At 31.9% G+C, this 16,432-nt stretch overlaps 1 protein-coding gene across 6 annotated transcripts in view; it reads right to left on the reverse strand.

Annotated features, from left to right (window-relative positions):
* The window catches only part of ASCC3 (activating signal cointegrator 1 complex subunit 3), a 373,136-nt gene that overhangs the window by 203,883 nt on the left and 152,821 nt on the right, over window positions 1–16,432 (reverse strand). For 5 of the 6 annotated variants that reach the window (NM_006828.4, XM_011535394.4, XM_047418108.1 and 2 more), the window contains 3 exons: window positions 13,463–13,627; window positions 5,999–6,175; window positions 3,386–3,457 (listed from right to left, as the gene is read on the reverse strand). In NM_006828.4, the coding sequence (NP_006819.2) occupies window positions 3,386–3,457; window positions 5,999–6,175; window positions 13,463–13,627 (414 nt within the window). Of the gene's footprint in view, window positions 1–3,053; window positions 3,458–5,998; window positions 6,176–13,462; window positions 13,628–16,432 lie in introns of those variants that run through there. The other variant, NM_001284271.2, reaches the window with a different exon arrangement.

Consider the following 16,432-nt stretch of genomic DNA (forward strand, 5'->3'; position numbering starts at 1 on the left):
TGAATCTAGACGCAGACCTCATATCTTTTACAAAATTAACTTAAAATGGATCAAAGAAGTAAATGGAAAACCACAAAATTATAAGTCTTAGAAGATAACATAACAGAAAATCAAGGTGACCTTGGATATGGCAGTAACTCTTTATATACAACACCAAAGACATAAAGGAAATAATTGACAAGCTGGACTTTATTAAAATTTATAACTCTGCTGAAAAACACTAAGAGAAATAAGAGGAAAGAGAATGAGAAGACAAGTAACAGACTGGAAGAAAATATTTCCAAAATATATACCCGATAAAGGACTGTTAACAAAATATACAAAGAACTCTTAAAACCCAACAATAAGAAAATGAACCACCTGGTTAAAAATGGGCAAAAGACTTGAAAAGACATTTCACCAAAGAAGATGGGCAAATGTCAAGCATATGAAAAGACGCTTAATATCACTTGTCATTAGAAAAATACAACTTAAAACAAGATACCATTACACACCTTTTAGAATGGCCAATATCCAAAATATTGACAAAACCAAATGCTGGCAAGGATGTGAGGATGTTGAACAACAGAAATTCTCTAATGGGTATGAAAAATGGTATAGGTATTTTGGAAGATAGTTTGGTAGTTTTTTAAAAAGCTAAACATACTCCTACCATATGATCTAGCAATTATACTCTTTTTTTTTTTTTTTTTTTTTTTTGAGACGGAGTCTTGCTCTGTCACTCAGGCTGGAGCACAGTGACACCATCTCAGCTCACTGCAAGCCCCACCTCCCAGGTTCACGCCATTCTCCTGCCTCAGGCTCTGCAGCAGCTGGGACTACAGACGCCCACCACCACGCCCGGCTAACTTTTTTGTATTTTCAGTAGAGACAGAGTTTCACCGTGTTAGCCAGGATGGTCTCCATCTCCTGACCTCGTGATCCACCTGCCTCGGCCTCCCAAAGTGCTGAGATTACAGGCATGAGCCACCATGCCCAGCGCAATTATACTCTTTATTATTTACTCAAACGAGTTGATAACTTACGTCCGGACAAAAACCTGCACATGGATTTTACAGCTACTTTATTTATAATTGCCAAACTTGGAAGCAACCAATATGTCCTTTGGCAGGTGAATAGATAAACAAATTAGCACACCAGGATAATGGTGTATTACTCAATACCAAAAAGAACTGAGCTACCAGGCCATGAAAAGACATGCGGAACCTAGAATACCTATCACTAAGTGAAGAAAAGCTAATCTGAAAAGGCTACATACTATGTGGTTCCAACTACAAGATGTTCCAGAAAAAAACAAAACTATGGAGAGAGTAAAAAGATCAGCAGTTAAGCGGGAGGACAGAAAAACAGGCTTAACATAGAGGATGTTTAGGTCAGTGAAACAAATTTGTATGAAACTATAATGGCAAATACATGTAATTATACATTTCTCAAAATTCATGCAATGTACAAAACAAAGAGTTAACCTTAACGTAAACTGTGGACTTTGAGTAACATCTGCATGTCAATGTAGGTTCATTGATTGAATCAAATTATCCCTCTGGTACTGGGGACACTGTGCTTGTGTGGGAGTAGGGAGCACATGGAAACTCTACTTTCCATTCAATTTTACTGTGAACCTAAAACTTCTCTTAAAAAAACTGTATTTTTAAAAAAACTAAATTGAGAAAACATTTAAATATTTACTGAATCTTTTTGATATTCCCTATACAAAAAGAGTTTACAGACCACAGGTACATTCCTTAGCTAACAATATAGTTTATATATTTTCTAATCTAAAACTTGGAAATAAATGTGCATGGTGATAACATCTAGCTACTTACACTGAATTTATGATACTCTTGCAAAGAAGGCTATACGGGACATTCCATTAGAATCTTTTTTGAAATGCTTTCAAAAGTTTCTCTAGACAGCATTTTGGGATCATCACACATACACTACAAATAAAACCTCACGAGGCAATCCAGAACAGAGGTGGTAAATTATAGCCAGCAAGCCGCCTATTTTTGTAAATAAAGTTTTATTGGAACACAGTTGCACCCACTTGTTCAAATATTGTCCATAGCCGCTTTCATGCTAAATAGCAAAGTTGAAGGAGCTGCAACAGAAAACATAAGGCCCATAAAGCCTTAAATATTTACTATCAGACTCTTTACAGAAAAATTCTGCCAGCCTCTGACCTAGAACAAATAGTTTTTATTTAGTAGGATTTTTTTAATTTAAAGAAAGAATATTGGCATTTTATATTTCTTTATTTTTAAAATGATAAATAATGCAACTCACAAAATAGTTTTTTATGAGGGTCAAAGGAGAACAATGACATAAAATAAATGCAAAGAAAGTGATATGTCACAATAGTTAGCAGCTCATGGCCTGGATCTGAAAGTGCACTAGCAGAATGACCTGAACATGTTACTTTATTTTGCAAAGAACTCCATTTTCCTCATCTGTCAAGTGAAGATAATAGTACCTGCCTCATAGGTTGCAGAGAAAATTCAATTGGTCAGTAAGTATAAGATAATCTTACCAGCTTCATACATTTATTAAGAACTAGAAAAGGTTAGCAACTATTATTCTTGCTAGTATACAACTTAAAATACTTGTGATTTCCGAAAAAGTTATTCTTAAAACCAAGCACAATCTCTAGAGATTAGTTATGAATGTGATTTTAAAATTATTTCCTAAAAACAGAAAAAATGCCTCAAGAATGCTCAGTGTTCCAATGTTTAAGGAGGCAGTGTCCCATGCTCTCAAGTTCAAATCATCTTTGATTTATTTTATATACTGGAGTTGCAAACAAGATTTAGTCTGGGAAAAAAAGGTTTCACTACTCTTAAAAGGAATTTAACAACCTAAAGGCCAGGAAAACACTTTACATGTCATAAAAGGCTCACATTGTTTTAAGAAATGACATAATAAAGTTATTCAAAGAACCGTGAACAATTGGGAAGTGGACAATTTTTATATAAGCAATTATTATCACTTCACTTTGTCTTTAACAATCTTGATGGGAGTATATTGAACATGGAGAATTAAAAAATAAAAGTGCTTAATTTCTAAACACCATCAAACAATACAGAACTTTATTATATATATTACATTTCAATTGATATTGCTTCATGAAAACAGTAAGAATATAATATTTAAAATTAAAAATGGCAAACAAAATAGCACGACCTATCAATACTGGGATGATAATATCTATGAATATTTTTATGACTTACCCATTGGGCTAAAGCAGTTATTAAGAATTAGAACCTCTGAGTCATTGCCTCAGAATTAAAGAAAAATTTTCTTCTGAAGAGCGTAAATATTAATAATTTTTATCATTAAGCACTCTCTAAAAGCAGATAAATAAGTGTAAAAGCAGATAAAATAAGTGTACCTGGTGTCCAGCCTTTACTTGCTTCAAAACATTTTCATAACATACTTCATCCATGTTATTCAACTGCTGCATCTTGAAGATTTTAAAACATAAAAAAAATCATGTGAAACAATTATAAACTTTCTAACTACAAATAAAATTTTGCCAATTACAATGCATTTTTTAAGCTTTCAGGCTATCTAGAATGCAGAGGTATCAAATACCTCATAAACATATAACATATAACAATCCATTAAAAAATATGCAACGCAACTTAAAAGTACAAATAGAGTAACTCAGATAATAGTTTCTGAGTACTAACTTTCTAAACCCACCAAGTTTTTAAAATACAGTATCTTTAAGGATATTCTTGTTAGTTACAAATATTTTAGAATAATTTTTAAAGTTCTCTCTGCTTTTCTGAGAAGCCCATTCTCCAGGCTATTTTCCATATATTTCATTATATAAACCATAGAGCACACCTTTCCTGTATGATTCTAAATGTTGCGAGAACACTACGGATCAAGTGTCAAATGGCACACAGAGCTAAAACATAAGGTAACACACTATTTCTGTAATGTATATTGAGAGAGGTTGCTATTCAGAATGCTTCTACAGAAACATTTTTCAGATTAATTGGAAATCTAATATAAAATTTATGAATTAAGAAAGGGTCTCTAAGTATTTAAGGTTATGGATATCCCAATTAAACTAATTTGATATTCAGTCAAATAGATTTGACCGAAGATTTTCATGTAAGTTAATACATGCATATAATTATCAATGTATTCATATAATTATGAATGTATTATGCCCACATATGCCCAGAAAATATGTAAATCTACTATGTATCAATTTAAAAAAATTTAAAAGGGTCTCATATTCCTTATTAATGATGAGAAAGCTTCTAACCAAAAAGGTAAGGTGGCTAACCCAAAGGAGTAGGCATGTGACCCAGCCTATTATCTCTCCACTTAACATGTATTAGTAAGAGTTTAGAAGAGGATGAAAAGCATCATGTACATCTAAAATGACAATGATTTGGATTTTTTGTTTCATTAATGTAAACATTTTAAAATACTGGAACTCTTATGACCTATAACGGCTAAGTAGGATGAGATGATCATAGGATAATTTACTCCTCATGAATAATTTAAAAACAATCCCCACCCTCTACAAAAGACAAAACTCCCAATAACTTTTTCAGTGTACTTTGGATTCATTTCTGGCCAAAGCCATTATTCCAAATTAGACATAACACTCACATCATTCTCCCATTCCTTTCATGATTATGATGGTAACGTACTGTAGTGAAATATACTTTGGATTTAATTAGCTTTAGGTGATTTAACAATTTGTATGATGCAACTGAAAGAAAATAAGGTTTAAGGTGGCTGACAAGCATGTGAAACAACTGTCTTCTCTTTATATCTCTCTGTGATAATCATCTGCTTATCTTTTAAATTATAAAGCTGAAAACATTCTAAAGCTATAAAAGAAGGTCTACATCTATCCTACTGATATGTTAAAAATGAACTACATAATCAAATTATATTGAAACATAACTGAAAAAAACAAGCAGCAAATATTTCTGAAAAGCAGCACTTGAAACAATTATGAAGCTTAAAATATGCAGAATTGTATATCATAAACTCTCCCTTTGTGTACAAGTCTAAAATGACTCCCTAGAATTCTAAAGACACCTAACATTCATGCAATGCAGTTACAGGACATTAACTGTTGTATTATGGTAACAGTCACTTTGGATATTTTTAGGTGAATATTTTACCTATAATAGTACAAGGTAAAAATGGCTCTATTTTACTAATGAAATTGTTTTTAGACAAGAAGTGACAGTAATACATTAAAGACTAAGGTTGACATAGTAACATGATTTTATCTTGTTCTCTTTTATTAAAAATGTCAAAAGGCCTGTAAATATTTTCCTAAAACTATTCCTTCTACACAAAAAATAGGTGTTGTTGAATAGGATGATAATTGTTTAAATTTTAAGTAATGTTTTCCTTCATATTATAAAATAAGCCTATCATAAGTACTCTAATAGTGTGAATAGTATAGGTAGTACTAATTTTAAAATTAGATAAACTTTTTAAAGCATAGAATTTTAGAAATGCCATTTATATATATAATAATAAAGGTAATCATAGAACATTGTAAGTTAAACAGAACACCTTCCTTGATGGTTGCTACTATGATATTATTTTCAATTGAGTATGAGGTACTATTATTTCTATTAAATGAATATCATCACAATATATATTACTTGTTTAATTGGAGTTTTTATTATTCCACAATGCCCTTCAATCATTTCACGTCAAAATAACGTAAAACTTTTAATAGCTGAAAATACGTAACATACATGGAAAACACCAATGCAAACTATGACAAGCTACTTTCTATAGGAGGACTTACTCTACTACAAATAGTTGAGGAAGTATGCTTGATTTTGTCTAGGATATCACATCTGTAATGTGATTCAATGTTCTGCAAAAGGCCATTTCAGTGGACACCACAAAAGGCTGAAATGGTCTTTTGGAGTCTCTAACTCCAAACAAGTATTCAATAATAAGTCAACAAAAATATTTTTAGATAAGAATTAAAATGAGTATTTACCTTATTTGCACATTTAATCCCCAAAAATGTCTGTCCAAGAGGTACTGGTCGAAAACGGCCATCAAAGAAGAAAAGTCCAATGTATGGATTAACATGTAAAAATGTGGCAACATCGAGGTAGTTAGGTAAAGTTGCAGACAGTCCGAGAATCCTTATCATACTCTGTGTGGATTCCACCTATATGGATTATTTTAATTAAATATGGGTTATTTAAATTAATTTAACCAAAAAACATTATAATTTGTCCTATTAATAGGACTTCTAAAAACTCTAGACAGAGATGAGTGTAGAGGTCAATTGAGGGTCCTATCATGTCAGACATTGTAGCCCATAATTCACAAGCTTGATTTAACAGATACATAGTAGAATTCCATACCCACTATAATTAAAAATACACATGAGGGGTGAGTGTGTTGGCTCACACCTGTAATCCCAGCACTTTGGGAGGCAAGGTGGGCGGCTTGCTTGAGCCCAGGAGTTTGAGACAAGCCTAGGCAACATGGCAAAACCCCATCTCTACCAAAAGAAAAAAAAATATTAACTGGTGTGGTGGCACACATTTGTAGTCCCAACGACTCAGGAGGCTGAGGTGGGAGGATCACTTGAGCCCATATGATCATGTCACTGAGCTCCAACATCGGTGACAGAGTAAAACTCTGTTTCAAAAATAAATACATGAATAAAAATAAAAATAAAAATGTGAATTAAGAACTTTGTGACAACTAAATGTATTTTTAGGTCACAAAAAACTCAGTAAATTCCAAAAACTAAAAATCATATAGGCCATATTATCTGATTATGATGTAACATACCTAAAAAGATAAAACCAAGGGATGGCCAAAAACTTCCATTCATTTGTTAATTAAAATATATCAGTATGATTTTCTGAGTAAGCTGTTAATAATTTTACTCAGTCTAGGAGACTCAATAGGTATAAGCAAAGTAGTTCAATGTGAATAATATTAATACTTTCAGAGTCATCCATCCATCAACACTGGGTTAGGACCTAATCTGTAGGCACTAGGGATGCAGTGCTGAATAAGACATAGATCCACACATGCAGAGACTACTTGCAGAAACATAACAAGGGAGGGATCAAAAAAGTAGAGATGGGTAAAAATTAAAGTACCAATACATATATAGTATCTTATTATAAATTTGTTTTCACTGAAGAAATCTTATAGATATTGGCAAAACCCCAAACCAAATCCCATCAAAAGCAAGGAACCCTAAATAAGGGGAAATAATCACCAGACCTATTTTTAAAGAAATCTCTTTCACAACATACAGTAATTAGAACGATTAATTATCCCACAGTTCTATGTAGTACTAGTGGTGATTTGGAAAGAAATGAAAGTGATATTTGGTTTTAAAATCATTTTTTAAGACACAATAGTTACAGAATATATTTTTAAGGTTGTTTGATGTTAAAGACACAATACTCTGGCAAACACCAGACATTTTTCTGCTAAAAATCCACTTTAAAACAACATTTTTAAATCTAAAAGTATAATTATAATACAGTTATTTAATATAGTTAAATCTATGTGAGAAATACTTTATTTGAAATAGAAATAATCTGGAATGTTATGTCTTAAGCCAAACCTTCAAGTCTATACACTATACCTATTTACCTTAAAAGTATTAATTATTGACAATTACAAAAAATTAAAAATTTATAGCTTTCTCCCTATCATTAGCTCGGATTAGACAGTATATTTCTATGATGTTTTCCTTCACATAAAATTTAGTTCTGATAAAGTCTCCCTACTTACTAAAAGTAGGTTAATTATTAGTTCATGTTGTTAAATAAAATAGATTTAAGATTTCTTAGACTTTTATCTTTTCCAAATTTCTCCCAATCATGCCAAGTGTATTATGAATTTAGTGCCTAATATCATCATGTAAGTTCAGAACCTGAACAAAATCTACATTGCCTTCCAATAGCTTTGGAAGGCACTTCTACATTAGTTACAAATGTTGAAGTGTGATGTGATGTGCCATCTACTGGGAACATTTGGTAATCACAAGGAACAAATAAAAATAAGAGCTTTGTTTTGTAATAAAAATAACTATGAGCACTGTACTAATACTTCGAAAATATGAAAAGATTCACACAGACACATCTGTCAAGGAAGCTGAATTCTAGTGAGGCATTTAGATGAAGACAGAATTCACTATAGTAAGTTGTGAAATTATAAGGAAGATCATCATAAGCGTTAAAACTATGTAAAAAAAGGGAGTGCAAAGAAAACACAGAAAAGGTGTAATTCATTCTGATTCAGTAACTAGGAAACACATCATAGAAGTGGCATTTGATGGATTCAAAAGAACAGTAAATTTTCCATAGATGGATGGGTGGAGTTACAAAAAAAGAAGGCATTACATAATTTGGCATTTACAATCCTTATCTCACAACCAACAACACATTCTGCCTCAAGTTAGATTAGTTTCGTTTTTGAAAGAGGGTCAATGATATTTAAAAGGAGGTAGGGGAAAGATCAAATAGTTTTGTGTGGCTGGAACCTCTGGTAGCTGATGAAGATGTAGAAGTTAAAATTAGACAGACAGCGCTTTAATATTAGTAGTCTTTAACGTCCAGCTAAACAATTTGACCATTTTTCTTAAGATAACAAACAGCAAGTCAGCAAAGGTTTATGGGCAAAGTAGTACAAAACGATATAATTAGAATTTGATTACAATATACAGATGACAATGTGAAGATGAAATTATTATACATATATAATATATATGATATACACTTATATATTGATACACTATATATTTATATAATAATATATTGCATATAATACATAATAAACCTATAATATATAGTTTGATATAGTTTATAACATTTATAGATTTTATATAGAAACTATACTATTTACAATTAATTTATATTTTAAATAAAAAATTATATATTTATAAACAATTTACAAAATTATTTGTAAACTTTCTAAGGTTATAATGCCTGCTTAAAAATATTATGATATATAATGTTATATCTATGTGTCTTTGTACATACATACAGAAAGGATTAGCACTAAGACTACAATCTGTTTTCTTTTTCTACTGGGGATGCTCAGGAAAGAAAGATGTACTATAACAGTAAAATCCCTTGTAATCATGAATGATAGACCTCTTGGAAAATATACTAATGATATTTACTTGGCCTCTAATGTTCTATAGTTGAAGAAAGTCCTTATCTTTGCTGGATGGACATGGTCTCTGTAGGTGGCTCACTGCAAATAAATGTGGTGTATGGATTGTAATAGTATGGCTCCTTGAAAAACATCAGTAAGTTAAGTATCAGGACATAAAATCAAAACATTTCATAATCAAAATAGCTCTCCTTTGTGTAAATCATGCCCTGAATGCTTCTTTTATGAGACCTCATGTATAACATGTGGGCCAGAGCACATGCCTTGTAGGAATAATGGACCTAGAGAATAGAGATGATAGTTTCAGACTTCATCATACTTCATCTGTGTCTGACAACTACCTGGATTTTAAAAATTGCTCTTAAATTGGATTTTAGCTAAAAGCTGGTTTTATAAATCAGCTTTGAAAATTTCAACCCTGTGTGTTTTCTGTATGTGTGTGCATATACACATATTTTTAATTTATGTGGTAAAAAGTAAACAAGTCCCAAATATTTCTACAATTTCATTTCTACTGAAGAAATCACTTTTTAATTAGGTCCTACTTGTCAAATTTTTTGTTGTTGTTGTTGCAATTGCTATCTCCCACTTTTTAGTTTAATTAGGTCCTACCTGTCAATTTTTGGTTTTGTTACAGTTGCTTTCGGGGACTTAGCTAAAAATTCTTTGCCAAGGCCAGTGTCAAGAATGGTGTTTCCTAGATTTTCTTGTAGGATTTTTATTGTTTAAGATCTTACATTTAAATCTTTAATCCATCTTGAGTTAATTTTTGTATATAGTGAAAGGTAAAGGTCCATTTACATTCTTCTGCATATGGCTAACCAGTTATCTCAGCATTATTTATTGAAGAGGGAGTCCTTTCCCCATTGCTTATTTTTGTCAGCCTTGTTGAAGATCAGATGGTTGTAGGTATGTGGCTTTATTTCTGAGTTTTCTATTCTGTTCCATTTGGTCTATGTGTCTGTTTTTGTACCAGTACCATGCTGTTTTGGTTACTGTAGCTTTATAGTATAGTTTGAAGGTGGGTAGTGTGATGTCTCTTTTATTGTACTTCTTGCTTAGGATTACTTTGGCTATTTGGGCTCTTTTTTTGGTTCCATATTAATTTTAGAATAGTTTTTTCTAATTCTATGAAGAATGACATCCAAACTTCAGCATCATGCAATATACCCATGTAACAAACTTGCACATGTACCCCTGAATCTAAAATAATAGTTGAAATTGAAAAAGAAAGAAAAGAAACCACTCTTCAACTTGTTGCATATCTTTTCATGCATATGCACCCAATTCTACACCAGCCTAAAATCTAAGTGTAAGCAAGAACTTTGTTTTGTTTATCACTATATCTATAGCACTTAGAACTATGTAGCTGGTACATGTGTAAGTGTTTAATAAATGTTCATTAACTGAATGAATGAATGAATAAAAACATAAATATACTGCACATGTTTTTCTTACACAAATGGGATTGTGCTACACATACAGAACAGCTTGCTTTTTCAGTGAATAATATAACATCTTTTAAGCCCAGTTCACATAAATAAATGTGGAATGTATAGATTATTGTGGTATAGCTCCCCGAATGTAAAGAAGAGCACACAGTTCATTCTCACTTTTTTTAAAGGCTGCAAAGCAGCAATTCATTGCATAAATATACTATAATTCATTAAACAATTTCTTCTATTGTTGAATATTCAAGATATTACTAAAATATTTTGTATTAAAAAAAGAGCTTCAATGAATACTGGTATTACTAGATCTTTATAAATTTGTGCTATTATTTCCACAGTTTGATATATAGAAGTGAAAACACAGCGTTGATTTTGCTAGATGCTTTCAAATTCCATTTCGTTTTTATTTTTGTTAATGTGATAGAACAGAAATGTCTCATACTGATTCATATTCTTTTTAAGCATCTTTTAAATATTTCTCAATAATTTTTTCTACTGTAAAATGTTCCTTCCAGTTGATTATTTTTCTTATAGAAACCTATTAAATATAAATAATATTAACAAGTTGTTTTATGTGTTGCAAATAATTTATTTGGTCTCACATTTAAAATTTCAGGGGTGTGTCTTACTGATCAGAATTTTAAAATATTTATGCATCCAAATGTGACATAGGTTTCATTTATAACTTCTTGAGCTTGCATATTGCATAGAACAACAAGATTATTTTTTTAAAAAAAACTCTCCTATGTTTTCTTCATTGAACTGAGAGCTTTGTTTGAAACAATTAAATCATTAATCCATCTAGAATTTTATGGTGAATTTACAAAATGAAAAACAAACACTTTCGAACTTTTAAAAAATACATTATGTCACTTATTGTACCTACTTCTTTACATTTCCACACTTGAATCTGAATCAGAGGTATTTAGAAAAAAATATAAAGAATTGATATCTAATTAGATATTGGGATGGAAGAAAGTATTAAGGAAGAGGGAAAGCCTGACTATGACTCCCAGGGTTTTGGCTTCGGAATCAAGTAGATTATGATATCGTATCTAGGTATATAGGGAAGATGACAAGAGTTCTGACATGTTTATGGGCAAAAGATGTTTATGGGATATCAGAGTAGAAATATACAACTGGGTTTGGATATGGCCAGAAGTTATTAGGGAATTATATATATATATATATATATATATATATATATATATTTATAATTATATATATGACACATATATATAATATATATATATACACACACACATGCATATACATCATATACATATTATATATACATAATTTAGGTAAGATGGGCATAGAAGTGTTTTTCCCCAGTAAATATTTAGAATAAAGAGAGAAGATGGCAAGTGACGGAGTCTTAGAGAACATAAACAATAAACATTACAAGATTGAGAACAGGGAAGAAGCAAGGAAGGCTGAGAAAGAGTAGCTACAAAAAAACAAAAAAAAAAACAAAAAAAAACACACAAGTGAAAGTAACCAGGACAGGGTGGGATCACAGAGTCAAAGAGCAAAGAGTTTCAAGACTGAGGAAACAATGAGTAGTATTAAGCATCAAAAATGAGTAGAATCAAAAGTTAAAAAAAAAACAGGTTTGAGAACTGGTAACTGGTGATCTTGGTAAAAACATTTTATTACTTATGTTTGAGCAATGACCAGACTGCAGTGGTTTAGTCAAAAGGGAAATTGAATTGAGATTAATATTTCCAGACAGTAGGTGGTGGTGAGGGATAGGTTTAAGGAAATTTTTTGGTAAAGACAGAAGGGACTTTGCAATCCTTTTAAGTCAAAAAGACAGTGCCCACTGAGAGAGAACTTAAAGACATAGGAGAAAGAAAAGGGGTAACTTACAGAGTGAAAGAAATGGGGTCTAAGGCAAGGGGAGAAAGGACCTCTGAGAAACGAGTAAGGGGTGGAATGAAGGGTATGCTTGTGGTGGGAAGGGCTGGGCATTTTCCTGGTTAGGGAGAGGAGGGAAAAGGAATGGAAATTGAGAGAGTTCAAGCACGAGGGACTCTATTTCCATTTCAGTACAAAATACTATTGTATAAGAATACGGCATGACAGGGTGATGAAGAGTGAGAAAGGAAACTGGTGAAGCTTGAAGAGGGTCACATTAGGGACACAGACGAAAAGCTGCTTAGAAGTTACAGGGTAATCCCAAGGATCCATGTGAATGTAGTCTAGGAATGTCTACTCTAAATCACAGTCTATGAACGTCTACTGATACTAGTCAGCATCTCCAGCAATATTTCCCACTAGTAATCGGCAGTCTGGCTGGAAGTACAGACATGGCTCAATTGATTCACTGTTGTAATTTTGTCAGGTGCTCAGGGGATAAGTAAGTTAAAGTTATTAAGAAGATAAGTGATTAGTCATGGAATCTTAGCTATTTCAGAAGAAAATAAAGGCAAGAGAATATGAATAAAAGACAATAAATGAGGAATCAAGAAACTAGAGTTCTTGATTAGGTCAAAAAATAAGTGTTCATCTATTTTCTATATATGTACAATCTACCAGAAAACATCAGTTAAAAACTCATGAATATTCTAAGATATCCTGTCTTTTCATTTAATGAAAAGAATGGTTAACAGAAAATATCTTAAGACTCTTGGCATTAGGAATTTACCAATTTTGGTTTGGGCTATTTATGAATAGCCAGTGAGGTCTAAAACTAGGGACAACAGGTACATTCCCCCTTTTAAAAATATGAAGATTATGTCAATATTAGATTTAGCTTTGTAACACAGGTCTACAGTGAAAATGCTACATTTTAAGTTGAAAAACATATTTATCCCTTCAAAATAAGCTTATACATAACTTCCTCTTACCTGCCGTAAAGTACGGGCAACTATGCTTTCTAATACTGGTCCTCTATCTTCATGCAGCAAATGAACTTCATCAAGAATAAGGAGCCTTACAATCTGGGAAAGAGCTACATCCCCAACACTCTTTCTTGTCACTACATCCCATTTTTCTGGTGTGGTCACAAGCATCTATAAGAGAAGACACATTTTAAAAGGGGAAAGTTACATAGGTTATTTAACATTGAACTGTGATACTCAGAAAGAAATATTTTGGCCACCTCTACATAAATCAAATAAAAAGTGTTTAGAATAGCCTAGAATTACATCTAATTTACTATAGACAACAGTCATTTCAAGAAGAACTCTTTTTAAGCTGTGATACTAGGCAGTTTAAGCTCACTGAAGGTAATTTGCCAGTGAATTGTAGGGCAAAGTGTACAAAATACACATGTTTTTTTAAAAAGTATCTTACAATGTAAAAAAAAAAAAAACAGTAAGAACACTATTTTTTAAAGTAGCATATACTGATAATGGTCTTTATTTGAAAAGGGACTAAAAAATGATGAAAGCATTAAAAGGAAAGAAAGAAAAATCAACAATTCACTCTACCGATAATCTACTTTGGATGACAGATTAAAAATAACCCAAGATATAGTATCATAAATATACCCAGAGATCACTTACTAACAATGCTTTTCATTGAAAAACATGCCCATATGTTGTAAAACAAAAAGACACCATAATTCTCCTAAATTTTAAATTAATGGCACATTAAAATATAAAACTAGCTTGTTATTAGTAAATATTAGGAGAGGTACAAAGTAGATTATTAAATTACAATAATAAATACAAACGTGGCCATCTACCTCACCACCAACTTAGAACAGTATGCCAGCCCTTTCTTATTAATTTGCAGAGAAAAAATGTGGTAACAAATTATAAAATCAAAATTTTCAGATATCAGAAAGCATCCCTAATTTGAAAATCCAAAATCCAAATGCTCCAATGAGTATTTTCTTGGAGCATCATGTCAGCACTCAGAAAGTTCTAGATTCTGAAGCATTTTGGATTTCAGATTTTCAAATTAGAGATGCTCAACCTGTACCACCAAATCTTAAAATCCTTTCTAGTATTTTGTTTTCTATGCTTTAATTTCAGCACAGTAAGAAGTGGCTTCATTTATAATACTATTTTACTACTTCAGTTCCCTGAACTAAAATGGCTAGAAAATAAAGTGTCACATTTGCTTAATGATTTGGAACTCATGCAAGACATTTCCATCTGCTCTTGCATTAGGGCCTGGGTTAACTGTCAATACTTTTACTGTCAACTTAAATTTCTCTCAGTACATGTACTTAATCCCTTGGCAGTATAAAAATCAGTATTCTAAACTGTTCCAACTTTAGCCTGTCCACTGGGAAAATGGCATAGTTGAGATGCTTATAAACCACGATTATGCCAAACATTTGGTGTATTTAATTTTTAAATGCTCATTAATTTGACAGCAAAACCAAAGGACCTAAGACTTGCCAGAACCAATTCATCTTAAACGTTATTATTAAAAACTTTCCTTACAGCTGTATATAGTAAAATTACACTATTTTGTTTTCTACAATTGTTTAACGACTACTCCATTATTGTTTATCCTAGGTAAAGTGTATTCCTCCTTGAGGAGGGGAAGAGAAGAGAAAAACACAGTAAAAATTTTAATCTAAACTTTTAATGATTTGCATAATCTACTAATTGAATACTACAACAAGCCCTATATCAAACATACCAGAGATAGTGCTTCACTGAATGAAGAACGTCACGCCCAAATCCGCGTATTCACAGACTTGTCCCAAAAGGAATTTTTTGAATTTTGAACTAAAGAATTATGAGAGAGATCATAAAATCTCTCGTGTAATAAAGCCTCCGAGAGGAATGAGTTTGTGCATTTTACATTTGGTTCTTTTTTCCCCCACAAATTACTAGATTGAATTAATCTAATGCTCCTTGAGAAACAGAAAATGCAAAGATTCAAGAAGGAACTTTCACTGTATCAGCCAGGCAGCAATTACAGGCAGATGACCAGCTCCAGTGTTAGATCCCAGAGCTATGCAGCTATGGATCTGAACTTTCTGTTCTGGGTTTGTAACAACAACAACAACAACAACAACAACAACAAAAAAGGGTCTAAATATGTTTTATTCATATTTTTACTCTACAAATAGTTATTAGAGACAAAGATTAAAAATGACTAATGTTATTAACGTGGCTTCACAAAGAACTGAGCCAGAATGAAGAGAAATAAATCAAAATAGTGGTTTGGAGGGGGAGGGGGGCCAGACAGAAAAGTGGCAGTAGGGATCATTCTAAGGAGAAAAAAATTTTCTATACCTGCTTAAGAGTGTGGCTTACACATTTGCCAAAACACAGTGTATCTCTTCTATTTGGCTGTAAGTCAAAGAAAGTCTAAAAATAACTTTTTCTTCCCTAAAGATAAACATCTGCAAATATAACATTATTCTCTATGTGTCAAAAGTAACAATCAAATTGTCTAAGTAGACATAACAAATGCAATATGTGAGCTTGGGAATAAACATTAAGGTGCACATATAAATGTAACTATAGTATATAATTATGCTATAGTGCTTAATATGCAGTTAACACATGAGCCAAACAATTAATTGAAAATAATGAATATATATTTTTTCATATTTAATAAAAAAACACAAAAAAGAAGGGGGGAATGATAAAGAGAGAGTGAGAGACAGATAGACAGAGAGAAGTGACATCACTATACAACTACCATAAAAGTTAGAATGAATGATAGAAAATAACAGAGGATATGTTTACAGAGGATGTAGAGCAACTAGAACTCTCCTAAAGTAACGGTGGAATATAAACTTATACAATCACTTTGAAAAACTGCTTGGTAACATCTAGTAAAGCTGAAATATGCATGCGTTGTGACCCAGCAATTCCATTTCCTAATATACTATATACCCAACA

Source organism: Homo sapiens, chromosome 6, assembly GCF_000001405.40.
Source record: "Homo sapiens chromosome 6, GRCh38.p14 Primary Assembly".
NCBI lineage: Eukaryota > Metazoa > Chordata > Mammalia > Primates > Hominidae > Homo > Homo sapiens.